This window comes from Homo sapiens, chromosome 11, assembly GCF_000001405.40.
Source record: "Homo sapiens chromosome 11, GRCh38.p14 Primary Assembly".
NCBI classification, from domain to species: domain Eukaryota; kingdom Metazoa; phylum Chordata; class Mammalia; order Primates; family Hominidae; genus Homo; species Homo sapiens.
In genome coordinates, this window is record NC_000011.10 from 4,633,628 (window position 1) to 4,656,484 (window position 22,857).

At 43.4% G+C, this 22,857-nt stretch overlaps 2 protein-coding genes across 2 annotated transcripts; both read left to right on the forward strand.

The window, feature by feature from the left end:
• Positions 1-3,849: 3,849 nt before the first annotated feature.
• On the forward strand, positions 3,850-9,433 carry OR51D1 (olfactory receptor family 51 subfamily D member 1). The gene is made up of 2 exons (NM_001004751.3): positions 3,850-4,126; positions 6,150-9,433. The coding sequence occupies exon 2, from the start codon at positions 6,164-6,166 to the stop codon at positions 7,136-7,138; it is 975 nt and encodes a 324-aa protein (NP_001004751.1). The 5' UTR covers positions 3,850-4,126; positions 6,150-6,163; the 3' UTR covers positions 7,139-9,433.
• A 921-nt stretch (positions 9,434-10,354) lies between these two features.
• OR51E1 (olfactory receptor family 51 subfamily E member 1) lies at positions 10,355-21,861 on the forward strand. The gene is made up of 2 exons (NM_152430.4): positions 10,355-10,403; positions 18,861-21,861. Exon 2 carries the CDS (start codon positions 18,900-18,902, stop codon positions 19,854-19,856), a length of 957 nt encoding a protein of 318 aa, NP_689643.2. The 5' UTR covers positions 10,355-10,403; positions 18,861-18,899; the 3' UTR covers positions 19,857-21,861.
• The last annotated feature ends 996 nt before the right edge of the window (positions 21,862-22,857 follow it).

The following is a 22,857-nucleotide window of genomic DNA, read 5'->3' on the forward strand; positions in this document are numbered from 1 at the left end:
GGGTTCAAATTTTATTTTCTTCTATATGGATATTCAGTTATTGTAGTATCATTTAATAAAAAAATTCTCCTTTTCTGATTGCCTCACAGAATTACCTTTGTCATTTAACAACTGGCTGTGTATGAGTGGGCATACTTCTGAAATTTTATTTCCATTCATTGGCTCAACTGTCTATCCCTGAACAAATACCACATATGCATAATTACTATAGTTTTTAAATTTTTGATATTTAGTATATAAAATCTCACTTTGTCCTATTCTTCTAGAGTTTTGTGGCTAATTTTGGCAATTTACATTTTTATGTATATTTTAATCAAGCTTACCAAATTTTACACAATCACCAATTAGGATATTATTGGGAATGTATTGATTCTATGGAAAAATTTGGGGGCTAAGTAGATTCTTCACATTATCGAGTTTTCCAGTTAAAAAGAATAGTGTTTTCTTCCATTTATTTAGGTCTTCTTCAGTGTCTTTTAAGGATGCTTTGTGGTTTTCTGTGCAGAAATTCCTCTACATTCTTTGTTAGATTCACTCTTAGACATCTGATTTTTCTGTTATTGTAAATGCTTAAAAATTTTATAAAGAAATACAGTGGAATTTTGTAAGTTGACCTTGTATTCAGCAATCTTTACATACTCATTTCTAATAACTTATCAATACAGTCTTTTGGATTTTCTACATATACAATCACTAATCTACAAATAATGACTAATTTCATTTTCTAACTCTCATATCATGTTTCTTTTTCTTGCTTTATAACAGGTTATTAACACAAGGAATCATTTTTATCTTTAGGTACCATTACACTCTTTCTTTTCATGGGAGGTTGTAGGGATTTGTGTGTGACACACATATCATTATCTCGTAACAAAAAACAATGGCATTGGTCATCTAAAAATGAAATTTGGATACTAAAGAAACAAGAAAACATCTTACAGGAAAGACCTTCTTATAGAAATAGCACCTAAAACAGAATCTAAATAAATGTTAGTTTTTAGAGGAGGGAAACAAAGAGGTTGACCATTCCAGATAAAACAAGCATTTGAGCAAATGCTTAGAAGAAGGTGTACAGATAGAGAACTTTATTTAAGGAACTAGAAAGATGCCAATGCAGGGCCGTATTGAGGGAGAGTTGAGGTGTCATGAGATGGGGCTGTCGAATTAGGCAAGTTCATATCTTTTAGGACCTCCTAAGCCATGAGTATATGTTTGGCCAAAGCTCTCCGTTATCCATTGGACCTTTAGCATTCCATTTACATTGAGTGATTTTTCCTCCCTTCTTTCCTTCAAAAAATATTGAAATATAAGTAGAGGGAAAACTATTATTTTTAAAGTCATACTTTGGGTCACCTTAATAAGATCTATTCTTAATACTGTAAAAAGAGAAAAAAAAATGAATGCTTGAAAAGTGCCTGTGGAAATTACGCCAACTAGGTACATAATGTTATTAATATTAATAATAATTTAAGCGGCCTGCCCATTAAACATGCCTCAGTTGAAGTCATAGAGTTGTGAGGTATGAGTGCAGATCAACAAGACCAATAATTTCTGCCTTAAGAGTGGATAGAAGAGGACTCTGTTCACGTTTCCTTTTATACATACACATTAGTGTCCACCCTCCCTACAAAGATACGAAGATATGTTCATAAGTATGAAAAATAATATCACAACGTTAAATGCTATCAGTAAAACAAAGAGAAAAAGGGTAAAGAGGTCCCGCCAAGATTAGGGGTCAAGAAAAGTCTTTCTAAGCAAGGGTGTTTAAACAGAAAAGGCTAAGAATTAAAACTGGGAATAGGATGAGTGTTTTTACCAGGGGAAAAATATATGTGAAGGCTGAAGGGTGAGAGAGAGCATGGCACATTGAAGATGTGGAAATATTTCGGGTCCAATAGGACTTATGTATGCAAAAAGGGAGGTAAAATGGTTGGAGATGGAGATGGAGAGTTGCACTGAGATGGCTTATGGAGTTCCTATGAGTTGGGTTCAGGAGTGTGTTCATTCTACAGGCAATGGGGAATTCAACTGTTCATTCTAAAGGCAATGGAGAATTGCCATGAACTGATATGTGTTTGGAAGATCACACTGGCCACAGCATAGACAACAGATTGGTAGGGAAGTTCTTCTGTGAGTCTGACCAGTGAACAAGTTATTCTGATGATCTAGGCAAAAGACTGTCTTGGCTTGGAATGAAGAAAAGGCAAAAAAGATGGAGAAAGATAATCAGACTCACAAAATAGATATCTAGTAGATAAAATGAACAGAACTTGGTGACTGATTGGATGTGGTTGGAGAGGAAGGTGAGAGAGAGATGGGGAGAAGGCAGGGATGATGATTTCTAAATTTTTGACATGGCCAACAGAGTGATTTATATGACAGGGAACATAAAACAGACAGGGAGCGGGGTCCGGATTGAAGAGCAGAGATGATGAGCTTAGTTGATAATGAAATCAATGAGCTTAGAAATGATGAGTTAGGTGTTGAGTTTGAGGTGCCTGAAGGACACCTATGTCCAATAGACTTTACCATATTTGGAGTTTAGGAGATTGGTCTGGCCTGCTTGGGTGATGAAAGCTACTGGACAAAGTAAGATTACTCATAGTTACTATATAGAGGGGGAAGACAGATTATCTTCCTGGGCCATAGCTACCAGTAATGTGAGGAGTAAAGGACAAGGAGTCTCTCTGCCAACTCCATCCTGTTGACATTTAGTCTCTTCTAGTTCCAAAATACACATTTTAAAATCTCTGTGGAGCTATAAATCCTCCCAATATTGTCCATTTCACTCCTCTGTTCACGTACAAATATCTTAAAAGGGTTGTCTACATCGACTCTCTTCATCTCTTCCTAACACACTCCTCACACTGCTTCACTCAAGATTCCATCCCCCACCCTGTTATCCAGGTAGCCAGTGACCTTTGATTTCAGTCTTTTCACTGCTTGATCTCTCGGCAGCTTTCTGAACTGCTGACCAATCTTCCTTGTCAATATATTTTTTCCTGTCTCTTTTGTGGCACTGTCTACTGGATTTCCTACGTCCTTGGCTCTTCCATTTGTTTTGACTAGTAATAATGAACACAAACATTCACTGGAGACTTGCTAGTATCTCATTTCGTTTTTCACATTAAATGCTTTCACACTAAATGCTTATAGTAGTCATACTATTAATAAATGGGCGGACCCAAGTCTGTTTCCTTCTAGAGCCCCATGTTCAAACAAACATGCCACACGGTCTCATTTCTGGAGGGACAGGACATCTATGATTAGCGACCCAAGGAAGAAAGGGTGGGCTTGAGAGGGTGAGAGGGAGAGCTAAGGGGCAGCGCAGAGTAGTGGAAAGAGCTCAGATGCTAGAGTCAGTTGGGTCCTTGGTTCTTAAAGGCATCATCCTCAGAGCCATTGCTCAGGGACGGCCACGAGGCTGAAGATCCCCTGTGCGACCACAAGGTGGCAGCATGAAGAAGCGAGAGTCCCTGACACAGCTTCGATCCCCTTGGGTAGTTAGTGTGTTCGGAGCGCTGGTATCCCTGCGTGCTTTCTGCTGAGTGCCCACCCCTCCATTCCAGCAGGTCCTCTCTTCCAGCCCCGTTATTCCTCTTCTCCTTTCCACCCCGCGACACAGCCTCCCTCTAGTCTCTTGAGCTGGGCTCAGAGGGATAGTGATAGAGCTCAGTCCCTTTGGGTAGGAGTCAGGGCTCAGCTTTCCTTGGGCGTCTGAGCAGAGCGTCAGTGCCAGGGAGACCCGACTCGTTCACTCTCCATCACTCTACACACTCCTGAGGGGCCCCAGAGAAGCTATAATTGGGCGGCCTCCATGCGCTGGGGAAGCACTGGTGGTGAGTGTAGCAGGCTCAGCCCAGGGAGGTTAGGCAACGGGAGGGTCCGCAGAGACAGGCACAGAAGGCTCATTGCATAAGGAAGCCGGGACTTGATCAGTCAGCTTGGCTGCTTGGAGAGGTCTTCTAGTGTACACCTTTTCCAGATCACAGTAGCCCGGTTCCTGGACCTTGTTCCTACACAGAGGAATTTCTTCAAGCCTGTGAGACCCGTTCCAAGCTTTGCCTATCCTTTGTCCCAGGACAGGACTCCTCAGTTCCTGCCTCCTACTCTTCACTTAAGCAAGGCAAGGGGAATTACTTTACCAGGAAAAAAATGTGTGTGAGTGTGTACGTGTGTGTGTATGTGCACGTGTGTGTTGTGGTGGTGCTGGTGGTGATTGGTGATGAAGAAGGAAACTGAAGCTGGGCTGGAAAGTTGAGTTAGAGGAACACTGTGAAGGGCCTTGTCTGCATACTGTGGAGTTACTAGTTCTCACTTTATCTGGAAAGCTATGGGAATCACTCCTAACTTGCTCAGCAGGAGCCCCAGGTGTCCAGTTTTGCTGTTTAGATGGCAGTGGTGTGGAAGGTGGTTTGGAATAGACTAGGTTTGGAGGCAGGGAGGTAAGTTGGAAGGCTCTTTTTATAATCAGGGCAGAGTGGATAATATAATTAAGTTGGGAGGAGGTGTATTAAGAGGAACGGCCCCAATAATTAATTGGAAAAGTTGAATTGCATGTGGGGGTGAAAGAGGAGACGGGTCAAGATGAGACCAGCTGCCCTGACTTGGGTGATGTGGGTTCTGAGCAGTGGCATTCTCTGAGATCAGGAACAGGTTTGGAAGGGGTCCCTGTTAGAGGCAAGATGAGTGGGAGGCCCATAGGCTATCCAGGTAGAACTATCAAGGAGGCGGTAGGTTATATGGCTGAATCTCAGGACACAGGCTTAGAACAGTGTGGTCTGTAGAGAGAAAGAAGTTGAGCCTGGGACGTTGTGTGATCACCAGGGAGAGTAGGTGGAGGGAGAGGTGTGTGTGCCTGTGAACACTGTGGAGTAACAGCAGCAGCACTGGCTGATTTTCTGTTCATGTCTCAGCTGCATCTGATTTCCATGACATGCTCCTCTTGCTGAGCGCAACCTGGGACTGACTCTCACCTGGGGCTTGAGAGATCTTGATGGCAGATGCTGCTTATTGTTCGTTTGGGAGCTGGAAATGGAAATGATAGTCCCTCTTCATTCACCTCCCTGCCCCCAAGAACACCAGAACAACTTTCCCCAAAGTTCTCTGATTTAAAGCACAAATTTCCTAGGGGAAAGGGGCTTATCGTTTTTTGTTTGTTTATTTGTTTTGTTTTGTTTTTGAGTTGGTGTCTCGCTGTGTCACCCAGGCTGGAATGCAGTGGGGGTGATCTCGTCTCACTGCAGCCTCTGCCGCCCAGGTTCAAATGATTCTCCTGCCTCAGCCTCCTGAGTAGCTGGGATTACAGGTGCGCTCCACCAAGCCTGGCTAACTTTTGCATTTTTAATAGAGGCAGGGTTTCACCATGTTGGCCTGGCTGGTCTCGAACCCCTGACCTTGCGATCTGCCCACCTCGGCCTCCCAAAGTGCTGGGATTACAGGCGTGAGCCACTGTACCTGGCGGGGCTTATTGTTTTTTAAAAAGATTTCCAAAACCTTGCCCTGGCAATTCTGATTTTCTGGGCCTGGAGCAGGACCTGGAGGGATGGTGTTGTCAATTACTTTAGATGTTTCTATCAGGAAAGTTTGAGAAATGGTATTCAGGCCTAAACACAAACCTCTCTTGAAATCTCATCCCAGACTGAGCCCCTGCTCCCTATCTTAAATTAGATTATAGTAGGTCTTAAAGTCAGCTGTAGACTGAGCCTCTAAATCTGAACCCAGACCCACCCTAACCCCAGGATACATCAGAAGAGCTGGTCAATGTGGACCATTCTGAGCAATCCTGCAAGTCTACTCTGATGGGAAAAGGCTAAGAGCAGTGCCCTGGGCAGCAACATCAGCTCTGAAGATGCAGGACTGTGTTACATGTTTTATGAGTGGGTCTTCACACACTGAGATTCATGGGACAGTAATAGAATCTGCTTGTGCAGCACTGGGGCCTTGGAGGGTCAGGGTAAGGCTCAAGATGTCCAGGAAGTTGTATATAAGGAGAATCAGAGCAGAGAGAGACTAGGGTTCAGAATTACCAGGATGACTTAGTCCTGTTTGTTACTGTCACCACTCCAATGCCTTTTCCTCATTAGTCCTTTCTCTCCTCTGAGCCACAACTAAATGATGTTTCTACTTTTCCCTTTCTACTTTCCTAGACCCTGGATTTTGTATGCAGAAGCCCCAGCTCTTGGTCCCTATCATAGCCACTTCAAATGGAAATCTGGTCCACGCAGCATACTTCCTTTTGGTGGGTATCCCTGGCCTGGGGCCTACCATACACTTTTGGCTGGCTTTCCCACTGTGTTTTATGTATGCCTTGGCCACCCTGGGTAACCTGACCATTGTCCTCATCATTCGTGTGGAGAGGCGACTGCATGAGCCCATGTACCTCTTCCTGGCCATGCTTTCCACTATTGACCTAGTCCTCTCCTCTATCACCATGCCCAAGATGGCCAGTCTTTTCCTGATGGGCATCCAGGAGATCGAGTTCAACATTTGCCTGGCCCAGATGTTCCTTATCCATGCTCTGTCAGCCGTGGAGTCAGCTGTCCTGCTGGCCATGGCTTTTGACCGCTTTGTGGCCATTTGCCACCCATTGCGCCATGCTTCTGTGCTGACAGGGTGTACTGTGGCCAAGATTGGACTATCTGCCCTGACCAGGGGGTTTGTATTCTTCTTCCCACTGCCCTTCATCCTCAAGTGGTTGTCCTACTGCCAAACACATACTGTCACACACTCCTTCTGTCTGCACCAAGATATTATGAAGCTGTCCTGTACTGACACCAGGGTCAATGTGGTTTATGGACTCTTCATCATCCTCTCAGTCATGGGTGTGGACTCTCTCTTCATTGGCTTCTCATATATCCTCATCCTGTGGGCTGTTTTGGAGCTGTCCTCTCGGAGGGCAGCACTCAAGGCTTTCAACACCTGCATCTCCCACCTCTGTGCTGTTCTGGTCTTCTATGTACCCCTCATTGGGCTCTCGGTGGTGCATAGGCTGGGTGGTCCCACCTCCCTCCTCCATGTGGTTATGGCTAATACCTACTTGCTGCTACCACCTGTAGTCAACCCCCTTGTCTATGGAGCCAAGACCAAAGAGATCTGTTCAAGGGTCCTCTGTATGTTCTCACAAGGTGGCAAGTGAGACACCTTAGTGTCTCGCTTCTACTACTACTACAGAAGATGGGAATATTAGGATCCTATTGAATGCCTTGGTGATTAAAGTATCAAACCTATTGTGCTGTCTTCTTCCAGCAATTTAAGTAGATCATGTATTCTGTCTCCAGGAATGTGTCAGTACTGAACTTATGACCCTGTCTGGACATCCTGGAGAATGACTGCACTAGTCCCTCTGCTATGGTGGTCTTGCCTTCTCCTTCTCTCTCAGCTAGAAAATACATCTAGTTTTGACATGGGGAGGCTGTAAAGATCACACCTCATGGTTCATTCCAGTTTTGAAGTATGATTTTAATGTTCTTGCCCCCATGTGCCCATGTTGGTGAATTTGCATGGACTATAAACGTTATTGCAAATACCCTAAAGTGGTTACCCAGCCATAATCAGGGGTTAATGAAGGTATTTGGGGAATAGTAACTGGAGAGACAGCAACAAGACAAGAGGCAGCTCACATGCAATGTTGAAGTTTCTGTATGCAAGAGGGTGTGTTGGCAGATTTGTGAAATCTGCCCATTTGCATCTGTATGGCTCTATATGACTATTTGTCCATAAGGGTGCCATGTATTCTGGTTGTGGGTGTGAATGTGTGGGTGTGTTTATGTGGACACTTGCTTTTCAGTGTGCGTATATGTGAGAGAGAGGGTGCACACATGGAATACGTACTGGTTGTGTCCTGGTGAGTGTGGTAGCTATGTCCTGGCACATGTATGTTTCATGAGACGTGTCTCTGATTGCGCATTTGTATTTCTGTGGTATCTGTTAGTTGGTATATGATATGTGTCTACGTGAGAATGCTGGTGTCTGTATCTGCATGGTGGGCAGTACCTTTATGTGTATCTGGTAAGAATGCTGCCTCTACCTTTTCTTCCTATTTGTACTATGTGAATGTGGTGCATGAATGTGTGGAATGTGTGGAATGTGTAGTATTGGGATGCCTGTATCTTTCAGCGTGTTTGGGTGTATGTCCACTGTGCATAATATTTGAGATGTAAAACCATTTTGTGCGGTATATGTGTTATTAGTTGTAAGTCGGTGAAATGTACATCTGAATTCTGTGTGCATATTGTTGGTACTGATGCTATTTTCGTGCATATGTCTAGTGTATATGTTTTAAGGCAAACTTTCTTTGTGTGTTGGGTGTGTATGTGACACGAATGGGGACAGCATCTGTATTTCTGAGCATGGATTGATGTGTGGTGTCTGTATGTATCTTGGAATGGAGGAGGGAGATTGAAGAAGTCTGGCTGTGAGCAGCAGAAATAATTTCCAAAGTTGAGTGACATGACTCTAAGATGCCCAGTTTCTCGGCCTGGGGTCAGCCTGGGTGATAGCTCAGTCTGTCAGAATGAAAGGAAACACGGTGCTTCCTTGCTCCACCTTTTCACAGGCCAGACCACACCTTCTTCATCCTGAACACAAGGATTTCAAGGGCTTTTGTTACCTCTTCCTACGTTTCCTGCCTCTGCTATCCGAGGCACTGGCCTCCCTAAACCCTGCCCTCCTGCCTCAATAGCAAGTCATGGTATCCTCACCTCTCCCTTCCCTTTTTGGCTTATCTGCCAAACATGTATAAAAGTCCTTGGTTCCCCATCTCTACTAAAAATACAACAATTAGCCGGGTGTGATGGCGCGTGCCTGTAGTCCCAGCTAGTTGGGAGGCTGAGGCAGGAGAAACGCTTGAGCCCGCAAGGTGGAGGTTGCAGTGAGCCGAGATCATGCCACTGCACTCCAGCCTGGTGACAGAGCAAGACTCTGTGTCAAAAAAAAAAAAAAAAAAAAAGCCTTGGTTGTAGGGAGTTTCTCCTAATCCCTCTGGGAAAGCAAGGGTGGAGGGGAAGCCAGTCAATCTCCCTTCTGTTGCCGCATGGAAACTCCCTTAAGGCAGGAAGCTGAAAAAACTGTAGCATTCACCTCATTATTCACCTTGTCTCATGTCTCACTGTCCTTCCACATGTCTCATTGTTACTCCATATTGGATGGAAGTAGAAGTCCCTTTGGTATTTTTTAAAGTCTTTGCCATGTCTAAGTTAATGAGGTTAATGGAGGCAGCAGAGATGGCTCCAGGGTTCTGATAGCAAGTGTCAGGCTGCGTGCTCTGTAGGCACCAGAAACTGTTGTCACCAGTAATTTTGATGTGGTCTGAGTTAGAATGGTCTGATTTGCCATGATCTATTTAACATAGCTTGATTTAGCGTGTCCTGTGTTCTGAATTTAAAACTCACAGTTGTGAAACTGATCAGTAAAAAATAAGGGGAGACCAACTAAAAACCATGTTGTTCTATTTATAGATGTAGTTTTTACTTATTTCAAAATACGAGGTATTTAGTTTTACATTCAAATTGTTCTCTAACTCTCTAAAATGTTCTCTGACTATTTTTGCCCTTAAGGGAGAAACCAGATGTCATTGGTCTTACGTGGCTGGTGTTGGGGGTGGGGAGGGTTAAAGAAACCACGTTCTCTGTCCTCAGCCAGAAGTTCAGTAATCCAAGGCCAGAGAGTGGACGGCAGAGGCACTGTCCCTGGGGACCTTGGTTATAAGTTATCCAGACACAGGGACCAGAGCCTGGGAGACAAAAAAAGATGTAGCCCTAGGGCTTTGGGAAAAGGAGGATGGACCCAGTGAATTCCACGCTTAGCAAGGACCTAAACAGTGTCCCCCAAATGAGAGAAGGGAGGACAGAAAGAACACTTCAGGATGGAAATGGGCTGACACTTAACCGTGGAGTGTCTCTGCAAACTTCCTTTGCCATTCTCCTGTTTGAGTTTGATAAACCTGAGAAGAGACTTGGATAAAGACCGTCACGAAGACTACACTAATGAGTTTCTTCTAGCTTTTTTCTACTCACTTTCCCTATCTATCCTTCACATTGGGAGTTGGCATGAGGATCCCAGCAGCCCATCAGGGGAGGACTCTAGAGATCCCTTTCCCCATTGCCTCTCCTCCCCATACCCCCAGGCATATCCTCCCAGGGCACGGAAGCTGAGAAGCAGTCCAGAACCACAGTGGGCTAGTGAGGGGTACCTGCTGATGTACCCTTTGGACAGCATTCTGCCCCACCCTGCAGGAAGAAGCAGAAGGAGGGAGAGGGTGAGGCAGAGAATAAATAACCCTGACCAGGGAGGTCCAAGGGAGTAGGCGGAGACAGAGAGGCTGTATTTCAGTGCAGCCTGCCAGACCTCTTCTGGAGGAAGACTGGACAAAGGGGGTCACACATTCCTTCCATACGGTTGAGGTGAGTGCAGGAGGCCAGGGGCATGTCCAGGTGCATGGGTTACTTGCAGCTAGGGGTCTCCTGTTAGACTTGCTGAGTGCATGAGAAGCCAGGCTGTGAAGAACCAGAAGTGGGAGATGTGTAGGAAGCCCCTGACTCAAAGGACAGGCAGCCTTAGTGATCTCTAGGTTTGTGTGCTGAACAGAAAGCATGTGGGTGCTGGAGGTAGCCTAAGGGTAGTTTTCAAGCAGTTTTTCAGTGATTAGTTTACTAGTATGCCCATCTGGAGGCTGGCAGGGGCTGATGTGAATGAGGACAGAGGACAGAGGACAGGCTGGGCTGGGGTTAGACTGGGGCTGCATTGGGGTTGGGTCGGGGTTTGGTGTGTGAACAGGGTGAACGTGGTTGAAGCTCAGTCTATGACTGGGGATGAGGCTGCAGCTGGGGTGGAAGTGGGGCTCTGAGTGAGGTTGGTTTCACTGTATGCTGTACATCAGGAGTCAGGCTGTGGCTGAGACTGGGACTTAGTAATCTTCCTGGGGCTCCGATCTCAGCTTGGTCTGTGTCTAGGATCAGGATTCAGTCTTCAGCCCATTTAAAAAGTAGATTAGTGTCCACACGGCAACACCCCTTGCCTTGTACTCTTTACCCTAGCTACACTAAGTCACTTTCAGCTTTCCAAACAAGGTCTGTTCTCTTTCTCTCTGGCTCTTTGTATTAGCCAGGATGTATTTTTAAAAACAAACTAGATAAGTTCTGTTGCTGAAATTCCCCCAAGTCACTCAGAATTAAACCAAAGCTCCTTGCCATACCCTGCAAGACCCTGTTACCTGATGAGGTCCTTGCCTTCCTCCCGCCTCATCTTCTCAAACTCTGTTGTGCTCTTGATGCTCTGGCCACCTTGACCTTCCTTTTGTTCCATGAATCCCCCAATATCATTCTTGCTGGGGGACGCTTTTCTCTTGCTGTCTCCCACAGTTGGAATGCACTTTCCCTGGATCTTAGAATGGCTGGTGTTTTCTCATCACATGTCACATCCTTAAGAGAGGCTTTTTCTGACCCCTGTCTCCAGTATGAGTGTCCTGCACCCATCTTCCTCTGTCCTATCACTCTTTCTTTCGTGCCCTTATCTTCAACTGAAATTTTATTTGTTTACTTCTCATTATTGGCCTCGTGTTATATGAGCTCCATAAAAGCCATCATCTTGTCTGATTTATCTACTGTTTCATCTCCAGTTTTTGACACTCAATATGTTTTTGTTGTCTAACCGAATGCTGCTGTGCCCCACCCCATTAACTGCCTGTGTCACTGCCCCATTACCTGCCTGCAGCAGGTCCCGCCACTGCCATGGCTTAAATGTCACCTCCTCAGGGAAGCCCTTGGAACCTAAAAAGCTTGCTGAGCTATTGTTGTCTTTGCTTCTGAGGCCCTTTTGCTTCCCCTTGTCCCAGAATTTATCATAATGTGCTGTGATGGCTGCATATTTGTCTCAATTTCTCCCCATCCTTGGAAGGCTGGAACGATATCTCTGGTACTCAGTGGAGTCTGGCACAGAAGTCCGTCAATGATTATTGAAAAAATGAGTACACTGATCAAAATCCCACTTTGGGCATTTCCCTTGCCTTACATTTGCTTGCAGCCAGAATAGCTCTACAGGGAACTGGTAACTAGGTGCAGCTTTGCAGATCTTTAGAACACTTATCTGGTCCTACTCAGGAAGTGGAGGAGCAGAGACCTGAAACCTAGGAACTCTGCCTAGGGGTGATTTTAGGTGGTCAGGCTGACTTGAGTGACCAGGGTGGGGTGAGGGCTCACTTGGCTTTTTGGGAGTTAGAAGTTGCTCTCTCTCATCTTTCCATTTTCATCTTGGCCATTTTAAGAAGAGTGACCAACACCTTGCAAGGGTTCATCTGCTTTATTAAATACAAGCAAGGTGTGGGGCACAGTGGATGCAGATAATTTGAGTGGAAGTCATGCTGGGGCTACTACCCTCACTAAGTGTTAGGGAAGGGACTCTATTTAAGAATCAAGTGACAAGCTCCTCCAGTCCTTGCCAGCCACAGCATTGCCCCTGAGGTCTGCCTTCCCTCTCTGTGCCTGGGATGAGGAGCCAGAGGCTCCCAGGTATGTCTGGGCTTCTCTCCAGGGACATTCTTTTCTAAATATTCCCAGAGGCTGACAGCAGCGCCAGAGGCCCTCACTCCATTGCTCTGGGCATGAAACATTCTGTGTGTTTAGCCCAGATAGTGACACTGACAATGAATCTCCTCCTGGTTCTCCTTCCACACTGAACCTAAGTGGGGAGAGCTGGTCATGTGTCCTGAGTCCGAGAGGGGCCCCTGGACTCATGGGTCATCAGTGTTGGATTCCTGAGAGATTAATATTGAAATAGTGCTTACAAAGCGAAGTCCCTTCTTAAGGAGACATGGGGAGGGGTAGGGCAGTAGCTTGGCCTACTGTAAAGCAATGGATTTAGCACTAAGGGCTCTAACTAACCCTCAACATCCTTATCTGTCAAATGGGATTAATGATATCTGCTTGACAGGTGGATGAGAGGCTCTAATTAGATAATAAGGAAATACGTGGTAGAGGACAAGCCTTTTAATCTCCATTGTGGGGCCTACCCACCTCACAGCCTTTGGAGTTAGGGCTGAAAGAGGAGGTGAGTGTCCCAAGTTCCAGTGCAGAAGAGTCTTCTTTGCAGCCCTCTTGGTTTCCCTTCTAAGAGTATACCCAGGGCAGCTGTGCTACTTACCAAGCCCTTCTTATACCTTGCCTTTTGGGTGGATTTTATTAGCTTTCAGAAGGTGCAGCAAAATTAAAGGCAGCCTAGAATGAGGGAAAGTGTATAGGCCTTGGTATGAGACTATCTAGGTTAAGTTTCTGCATTACCAGTCACCTGTTAAACTTTGGTTATGTTATTTAATGTCTTGGAGCCTCAGTTTTCTCACCCATAATATAGAAAGGATCCATAGTATTCACCCATAATATAGAGAGGATCCATGGTGCAGCAAGAAGGGATGTTGATGACTTTGGCCCCTTTGCCTGAAGTTCTAGGTTAAATCGGTTTCTCTGCCTTAAACTTTCCCTCCCAGCAGATTGAATTAAACACCCTCACCTTCTGCAGAGCTGTTCCCAGATTAGAGATAATATTTATACAGATGGCACTGTATAGTTTCTGTCATTTTGTAGGTGCTCAATAATCTATGTTCATATTATAAAAACAACAAAATCAGGGTTAAAGGTGACCTCATTGTTCTCTTGGGTCAGAAGAGATAGGGCTAATAGGCTAATGGTACACCTTTGGAGTACCATCTCACTAAGTTCTAATTACTAACAGCTGCTCAAGCTGGAAGGCCATCTGGAAGTCTTCTGTCCCTCTGCCTGTCTTGTGGAGGGACTATGGAACATTGGGATGCTTCAGGGCTGGCCAGTCTGAAGGGTGGCACTTGGGCCCTCTGGCTGGCTTCCTCTCCATCCCTTCATTTCTCTCCTGCTGTCTGGTTTATCTCTCTGACTGCTTTTTCACGGGTCTATGAGAAGGAGTTCTAGGGAAGAATGTGAGGATGGGCTGGTGAGGGGGGCTGGGCTGGCATTAGGAGACAGAGTTCTGAAGCCCGGGGGAAGGAAGGGAGAGGACTGAAGGCCTCCACGTGGATTTCCAGTCTTTACAGCTGGGAGCTCCTGTTCCCCTATTCCTGAGAAAAGGTTAAGATGTCCTTCATAGTTCCTGAAGAAACATTCCTGGAACTTGCTAAGATAGTTCAACTTATTCACAGAAAATCTCAGCACAGGGCTATTCCTTGGGGATTAGAGCAGTGTGTGAGCTTTCTAAAAAAAAAATGCTTTGTTAGTTTATTTTTTCTTGATTGTGCCTTATTTTCAAAATAATTTAGTTCCAAGTTCCTCCAGAGCTCAAAACCATCTCACTGAGTTTTAATTACTAACAGCTGCTCAAGCTGGAAGGCCACCTGGAAGTCATCTGGTCACTCTGCCTGTCTCGTGGAGGGACTGTTGAACATTGGGACGCTTCAGGGCTGGCCAGTCTGAACGGTGGCACTTGAGCTCTCTGGCTGGCTCCTTCTCCATCCATTCATTTCTCTCCTGCTGTAGTCTTCTGGGGTCCAGGCTGATATTTTAGCCCCAGCGATAGCTGCCCATTTTATACTGCCTAGGCACCTCCTTCCCAGGCCAGCTAAATCTTCCTTTTGTTGATTTCTGGTATCTTTGTATCAGTGCCCAGTCTTGCTATTGTGAGAAATTGACTGCTAGTAAATATGTGTGTGTATGAGTGTGTACATACAGGCCAAGTGGTGATTAAGGTGACAAATTTGGGGAATTGAAAAGTATATGAAATTTCATACATTTTCAGAGACCTTGTTGCCCATTTTTGTGGAAAACAATGCACTATGTGTACTCCGATTTGGTTTTTACAATTTCTTTAGACATGCCTTATCTCATACAATTTCACAGCAGCACTATGCAGTTATTATTATTCACTGCATTTATTTAGCGCCAAGACTTGTGTTCTAAGCCCCAGGATTCTGCTCACCACATCACTCTACCTTCAGAGGCAATAGTGTTGCATATGCCCAGCCAGAGTTCTTTCCCAGTGTGTTTCCTAAGACAGCACATTTTTTAAATCCTGAGTATCAACCTGCTCTGCCATATCTGTTTATGTAAAACTGATGGATAGCATGGATATCTGACCCTCTGGAGTACCAGAACCTTCTTGCCAGTGTTTCCAGGTGAGGGATCTTAGGTCTATCCTGCTCTTAGGCACAAATTGTGCTGCATGTCCACTTTGCATTTATTAGGACCAAGACCTTGCAGCTGCTCTGTTTTTTTTAATACATATTTCTCTGGCCCTCCAGCTCCTTTGGTAAGAAAGGACTTTTCTGTTTGACCCTAAAGATTATTTTTACAAAATTAAAATTACTCTGCACTGACCTTCCAAACATCATCTCATCCTTCTCAAAAGTCTCTCTAGTACAGATAACAGGCAGTCTTAACTATGCCCTTGGCTGTGTTACCCTCACTAGATGTATACTAAGAGACTCTCCTGTTGATAAAACTCATTTTCATCTTCCAAAACATTAACTAAACAATTAATAAATATAATAAGGTTCCTGGTGTTCAGGAGCTCATAATTCAGGGGAAAATATAGCAATAATTATAGTTACTATTATCAAGAGGGTAAATACTTTAAAAAGACCTAAATAATGTTCTTTTTGAGCACAGAACAGTAAGCATTTAATTATGCCTAGGTAAAAAAGGCTTAGGAAAAATAGTATAGGAGAGAGACAGTAAGCCAGGATGTGAACAATGAGTGTGGGAAGTCAAGGAGGAAGATCTGGGAGGAACAGTTTTTCTTGACAAGGGGATGAGAAGTAAAAAAAGACAGAAAGACACAGAGTCATGGGAATCAAGGCTATGTTTGTGAAATAGCATGAACTTCAATGTGGCTAGATCATAGGGATCATGGTGAGGAGTGGTGAGGGAGGAACCCAGGCCCGGATGATGAAAGTCAGATCTTTAGCCATGTCATAAGAAGTTTAGTCTTTATTCTAGAATCAATTTGGAGTTTCAAGGGTATTTTTTAAAATAATAGGGAGCGAGCTGGTTTCATCTGGTTAGATTGTTGGGACTTTGTGGATGAGGAAGGTTACCCTAGAGACGTGGCAGTCAGGATCAGAGAACCTGGCTTGTATGATGGTTCACGCCACCATAACAGAAAAAAAGAAACACTGGAGGAAAATGGTTAACAGCAACAGATATTATTTTTGGCATACTTACTATGTGTGAGGTATTGTGTTAAGTGCTTTACATTTATCATCTCATTTAATCTTCACACTGACCCCCTATTAGCCAGGGACTCTTATAATCATTTTAATGATGAGGATGCTGAGGCTTAGAAAGGTTAAATGATTTACCCCAGATCATACAGCTCTAGAGGTTTTAGACTGGGTTTAGAATGCATGATTGATTTCAAAGATCATAGTTTCAATGGCTATATAATACTGCCTCTGAAAGAGTTTGTTTTTTGAACATGGAGAGTTTGATGTAGTTGAAAGACAATTAGGTGAACCCTTTTAGTAAGTCTTCCGAATTATGAACCTGGATTACAAAAGAGAATTCAGGGTTCATTAACTAGGTTTGGGGATCAATTGTTTGTATAACAAAAATGGATTTACTGAAGGGGATGAGATGGCCCAGGAAGAGAATATAGAACAGGAAGAGCACTGAAGATGCAATTTTGGAGAGGAGAGTGAAGATCCAGAAACGAAACCAATAATTAGTGATTAGAGAGAGCCGAGGAACAGCAGAAAGGAGAGGGAGAAGCTCTAAGAAGGAGGAAAGTGCTCCTGGTGCCACATGCTGCAGAGAAGCTGCAGCAGCGAGAAGGGACATTGATGACTTCGGCCCTTTGCCTGAAGTTCTAGCTTAAATATGGTTTCTCTGCCTTAAAACTTCCCTTCCCAGCAGATTGAATTAAACTCTCTCACCCTCTGTTCTACTATTCATGCTCCCATTGTTTTCCCACTAATTTCTATCTGGTCTGAGGAAACCTCTGGGTGACCGCTTGATGCTGGTACAAAGATTTGTGACACACCCTGAGCCCATGGGACCTCTTCTGATGCTGGCCATGAATTCTGACTTATGCTCAGCTGCTTTCTGGTAACCAGTGCAGAAACCCCTATCCCAGCTCTCAAACATTCAAGGGCCAAATCTATGTAAAAACTACAATACACATGATCTAATAAATACAGGTTGAGTACCCCTAATCCAAACATCCAAAATCTGAAATGCTCCAAAATCTGAAACTTTTGGAGCACCAACATGATGCTCAAAGAGAATGCTCACTGCAGCATTTCAAATTTCAGATTTTTGCATTAGGGATGCTGATCTGGGTATGTATAATGCAAATATTCAAAAAAAAAAATCCCAAATCGGAAACACTTCTGGTTTCAAGCATTGAAGATAAGGGCTACCCTATAGTAGGAGCACATGAATATTTGTCGATGGAGGAAAGAAAGGGAGGGAGGGAGGGAATCAGTTCACTCTTAACAGACACATACAATCTGAGATGACCCAAGTCTGACATTTTCCACCTCAGTAATATCAAATCATTTTTATAGTCAGATTCAGTTTGTTTGCAGACTGAATTCTGCTATAGGATTGATTATGCCTCCAGTGCTTCTAATGCCATCACCCCTCAGGGTTAGTATTCTAGTTGTATCAATCTCACTTTCTTAGATTGGGTGGGTCTCCTAGAAGCAGAACCTGAGGTGGGGGTTCTTGTCCAAATGACATATTGAGGGAGTACATGGCCATGAGAAGAAGAAGGAGGGAATCCTGGTAGGGCAGGGGAAGAAAGCTAAGCAGGGCTGTGGTCTCAGCTGGAGACAAGCCTCAGGCTGGTTCCTTGGGAAGCTCTGAAGTACAAATTGCATCAAAGTGTTTGTTGCACCCAGAGGCAATGGGGCTCACCTTTGGTACCCCTTATGTCAGGCAGCCACTGGCCTCTAGATGTGCATCATGGGGGCACAGTGTAACCTTCCTGGGTGAGGTGCCTCCCATTTGACCAAGGACAATCCTCTGGAAAGAAGGGGAGCTGTGAGCCCTTAGCACTCAATGCTCAGTGCAGATGGGAGATGGTTACATTGGCTTTGTGAATGGGGTCTGGCTGGGATACGAACGGTATCCACTAGAGCCATCATTCTTTATTTGAAATAAACTGAGTAGTCTGGACAAGTGTAAAGCTTTGGGTGGTCATTTGGACAAGAAGGTAATGTAGAGTTAGAGTTCAGGATTAATTTAGTGTCAGTTTTTTATTGGATTACGGTTTATCATAATAAAATAGAATATGAATTGTGACTTGAATATCATCAATTCGATCTTTAAGATTGAAATGGTTATTAAAAGGTCAAATATTAAGTTATGTTAAAGTTAGGGTTAAGTCTAGAATTGGGGAGATCATTAGATTAATGCTGGGGTTAGGTTTCAGTATTAATCTGTTACTACTAGTGTTGTTACACTTGGACTGGAATTTTTTCTTAAAGATAGTCTAATGATATGCTTAGAATTGCAGTTAGTATTAAGCATAGGGAAGCATAAAGGTAAGCTAGGATAGAGGAAATGGTGAGATATTTTTATCACCTAAGATTCTTTTATATTCAGCCAGTAGCCTTTCTTTGGAGAACTAAATGGTTTGGCATATGCTTAAAATTTTTGTCTTAGTCTTTCACTTGCTGTCAGGATTAACAATACAGATGGGGTTAGTAAGTAGGACTGGATGAATTTGTGTCTGGTTCTTGAATTATGTTAGATTATGTGAGATTGCATTTAGAATATGATTAGAATTTGCATAAGGAATGGATTTAGAGTTTGAGTTAGAGAACAGTACATCAGGATAGAGTCAGGTGTTAGGTATTGGGATGCTTATGGATCTGACAGTGGCTTATCTTTGCATTCCAGCCTCTACCTGCCTGGTGCTGGTCACAGTTCAGCTTCTTCATGATGGTGGATCCCAATGGCAATGAATCCAGTGCTACATACTTCATCCTAATAGGCCTCCCTGGTTTAGAAGAGGCTCAGTTCTGGTTGGCCTTCCCATTGTGCTCCCTCTACCTTATTGCTGTGCTAGGTAACTTGACAATCATCTACATTGTGCGGACTGAGCACAGCCTGCATGAGCCCATGTATATATTTCTTTGCATGCTTTCAGGCATTGACATCCTCATCTCCACCTCATCCATGCCCAAAATGCTGGCCATCTTCTGGTTCAATTCCACTACCATCCAGTTTGATGCTTGTCTGCTACAGATGTTTGCCATCCACTCCTTATCTGGCATGGAATCCACAGTGCTGCTGGCCATGGCTTTTGACCGCTATGTGGCCATCTGTCACCCACTGCGCCATGCCACAGTACTTACGTTGCCTCGTGTCACCAAAATTGGTGTGGCTGCTGTGGTGCGGGGGGCTGCACTGATGGCACCCCTTCCTGTCTTCATCAAGCAGCTGCCCTTCTGCCGCTCCAATATCCTTTCCCATTCCTACTGCCTACACCAAGATGTCATGAAGCTGGCCTGTGATGATATCCGGGTCAATGTCGTCTATGGCCTTATCGTCATCATCTCCGCCATTGGCCTGGACTCACTTCTCATCTCCTTCTCATATCTGCTTATTCTTAAGACTGTGTTGGGCTTGACACGTGAAGCCCAGGCCAAGGCATTTGGCACTTGCGTCTCTCATGTGTGTGCTGTGTTCATATTCTATGTACCTTTCATTGGATTGTCCATGGTGCATCGCTTTAGCAAGCGGCGTGACTCTCCGCTGCCCGTCATCTTGGCCAATATCTATCTGCTGGTTCCTCCTGTGCTCAACCCAATTGTCTATGGAGTGAAGACAAAGGAGATTCGACAGCGCATCCTTCGACTTTTCCATGTGGCCACACACGCTTCAGAGCCCTAGGTGTCAGTGATCAAACTTCTTTTCCATTCAGAGTCCTCTGATTCAGATTTTAATGTTAACATTTTGGAAGACAGTATTCAGAAAAAAAATTTCCTTAATAAAAATACAACTCAGATCCTTCAAATATGAAACTGGTTGGGGAATCTCCATTTTTTCAATATTATTTTCTTCTTTGTTTTCTTGCTACATATAATTATTAATACCCTGACTAGGTTGTGGTTGGAGGGTTATTACTTTTCATTTTACCATGCAGTCCAAATCTAAACTGCTTCTACTGATGGTTTACAGCATTCTGAGATAAGAATGGTACATCTAGAGAACATTTGCCAAAGGCCTAAGCACGGCAAAGGAAAATAAACACAGAATATAATAAAATGAGATAATCTAGCTTAAAACTATAACTTCCTCTTCAGAACTCCCAACCACATTGGATCTCAGAAAAATGCTGTCTTCAAAATGACTTCTACAGAGAAGAAATAATTTTTCCTCTGGACACTAGCACTTAAGGGGAAGATTGGAAGTAAAGCCTTGAAAAGAGTACATTTACCTACGTTAATGAAAGTTGACACACTGTTCTGAGAGTTTTCACAGCATATGGACCCTGTTTTTCCTATTTAATTTTCTTATCAACCCTTTAATTAGGCAAAGATATTATTAGTACCCTCATTGTAGCCATGGGAAAATTGATGTTCAGTGGGGATCAGTGAATTAAATGGGGTCATACAAGTATAAAAATTAAAAAAAAAAGACTTCATGCCCAATCTCATATGATGTGGAAGAACTGTTAGAGAGACCAACAGGGTAGTGGGTTAGAGATTTCCAGAGTCTTACATTTTCTAGAGGAGGTATTTAATTTCTTCTCACTCATCCAGTGTTGTATTTAGGAATTTCCTGGCAACAGAACTCATGGCTTTAATCCCACTAGCTATTGCTTATTGTCCTGGTCCAATTGCCAATTACCTGTGTCTTGGAAGAAGTGATTTCTAGGTTCACCATTATGGAAGATTCTTATTCAGAAAGTCTGCATAGGGCTTATAGCAAGTTATTTATTTTTAAAAGTTCCATAGGTGATTCTGATAGGCAGTGAGGTTAGGGAGCCACCAGTTATGATGGGAAGTATGGAATGGCAGGTCTTGAAGATAACATTGGCCTTTTGAGTGTGACTCGTAGCTGGAAAGTGAGGGAATCTTCAGGACCATGCTTTATTTGGGGCTTTGTGCAGTATGGAACAGGGACTTTGAGACCAGGAAAGCAATCTGACTTAGGCATGGGAATCAGGCATTTTTGCTTCTGAGGGGCTATTACCAAGGGTTAATAGGTTTCATCTTCAACAGGATATGACAACAGTGTTAACCAAGAAACTCAAATTACAAATACTAAAACATGTGATCATATATGTGGTAAGTTTCATTTTCTTTTTCAATCCTCAGGTTCCCTGATATGGATTCCTATAACATGCTTTCATCCCCTTTTGTAATGGATATCATATTTGGAAATGCCTATTTAATACTTGTATTTGCTGCTGGACTGTAAGCCCATGAGGGCACTGTTTATTATTGAATGTCATCTCTGTTCATCATTGACTGCTCTTTGCTCATCATTGAATCCCCCAGCAAAGTGCCTAGAACATAATAGTGCTTATGCTTGACACCGGTTATTTTTCATCAAACCTGATTCCTTCTGTCCTGAACACATAGCCAGGCAATTTTCCAGCCTTCTTTGAGTTGGGTATTATTAAATTCTGGCCATTACTTCCAATGTGAGTGGAAGTGACATGTGCAATTTCTATACCTGGCTCATAAAACCCTCCCATGTGCAGCCTTTCATGTTGACATTAAATGTGACTTGGGAAGCTATGTGTTACACAGAGTAAATCACCAGAAGCCTGGATTTCTGAAAAAACTGTGCAGAGCCAAACCTCTGTCATTTGCAACTCCCACTTGTATTTGTACGAGGCAGTTGGATAAGTGAAAAATAAAGTACTATTGTGTCAAGTCTCTGAAAATGATTTTGTTGTTCTTAAAGCATTCTAGCCTTGTAAATAAAACACTAATTTCATAGTTGTTGAATAAATAGATTGAAAACTAAAGGAAATAATAACTGAAAACTGAAGGGCTCAGAAAAGTCTGCTCTTCATCCTATATGCTTACATAAGAGGTATATTTATACCTACATAAGAGGTATAAATTTATCAAAGAAGGAAATATTTCCTTATGCTAGCATAAGTATCACAAAGTCCTTATTAACCATTATGACATCAAGCGGTGTCTCATACAGGTTTCTATTAATTTGCTTTGGATCACTTCCATCCCAACTACTTAGGAAACTTACATTATTGTCTCTTCTCCCTCATAGATATTCAACCTCACTCTCTCAAATGAATCATTCCTAGCATTTATCATGTTCAAGTCCCTTTCCATATTAAAAGCAACAATGACAACAACCAGTATAAATCTGTCTGAACTCATATTCCTTCTGTCTCTTCCCGTTAATAGCCAAATCTCTTAGAGAAGTTATCTGTAACTTACCGTCACTTACACATCTCTCATATAACTCTTCCATTATTCCAGTTTAGTTTTGGCCTTGGTCAAACTACCAAAGAACTTTTACTATACATCATCAGGAACCTCTGTGTGTCTGAGGTTTTAGTTTTTATCTTCCCTGATTTCTCAACAACATTTAACACAGTTGACCACTCTCTTTCTTGATACATTTTCTTCCTTTGCCCTTTGTGGCATCACACTCATGGTTTTCTTCTTATATCTCTGCATACTTCTCAGTTTCTTTGCACATACATTCTACTCTGCTTGGTGAGAGAATATGGTGTAAAAGGGCCTCTAATCAGGCCTCTAATTCCTACACAATTAATGCTTGTATTTGTTGCTGGTCTATAAAATTTGAGTTAATGGCCTCTAATTCCTATGCATTCATACACACACACACACACACACACACACACACACACACACCACTCACTTTGCCATTTGTATATCAGTGACAT

Bases quoted from the DNA above. Each gene is read 5' to 3' on its own strand.
- OR51D1 (NM_001004751.3), top strand. From the start codon at position 6,164: ATGCAGAAGCCCCAGCTCTTGGTCCCTATCATAGCCACTTCAAATGGA.
- OR51E1 (NM_152430.4), top strand. From the start codon at position 18,900: ATGATGGTGGATCCCAATGGCAATGAATCCAGTGCTACATACTTCATC.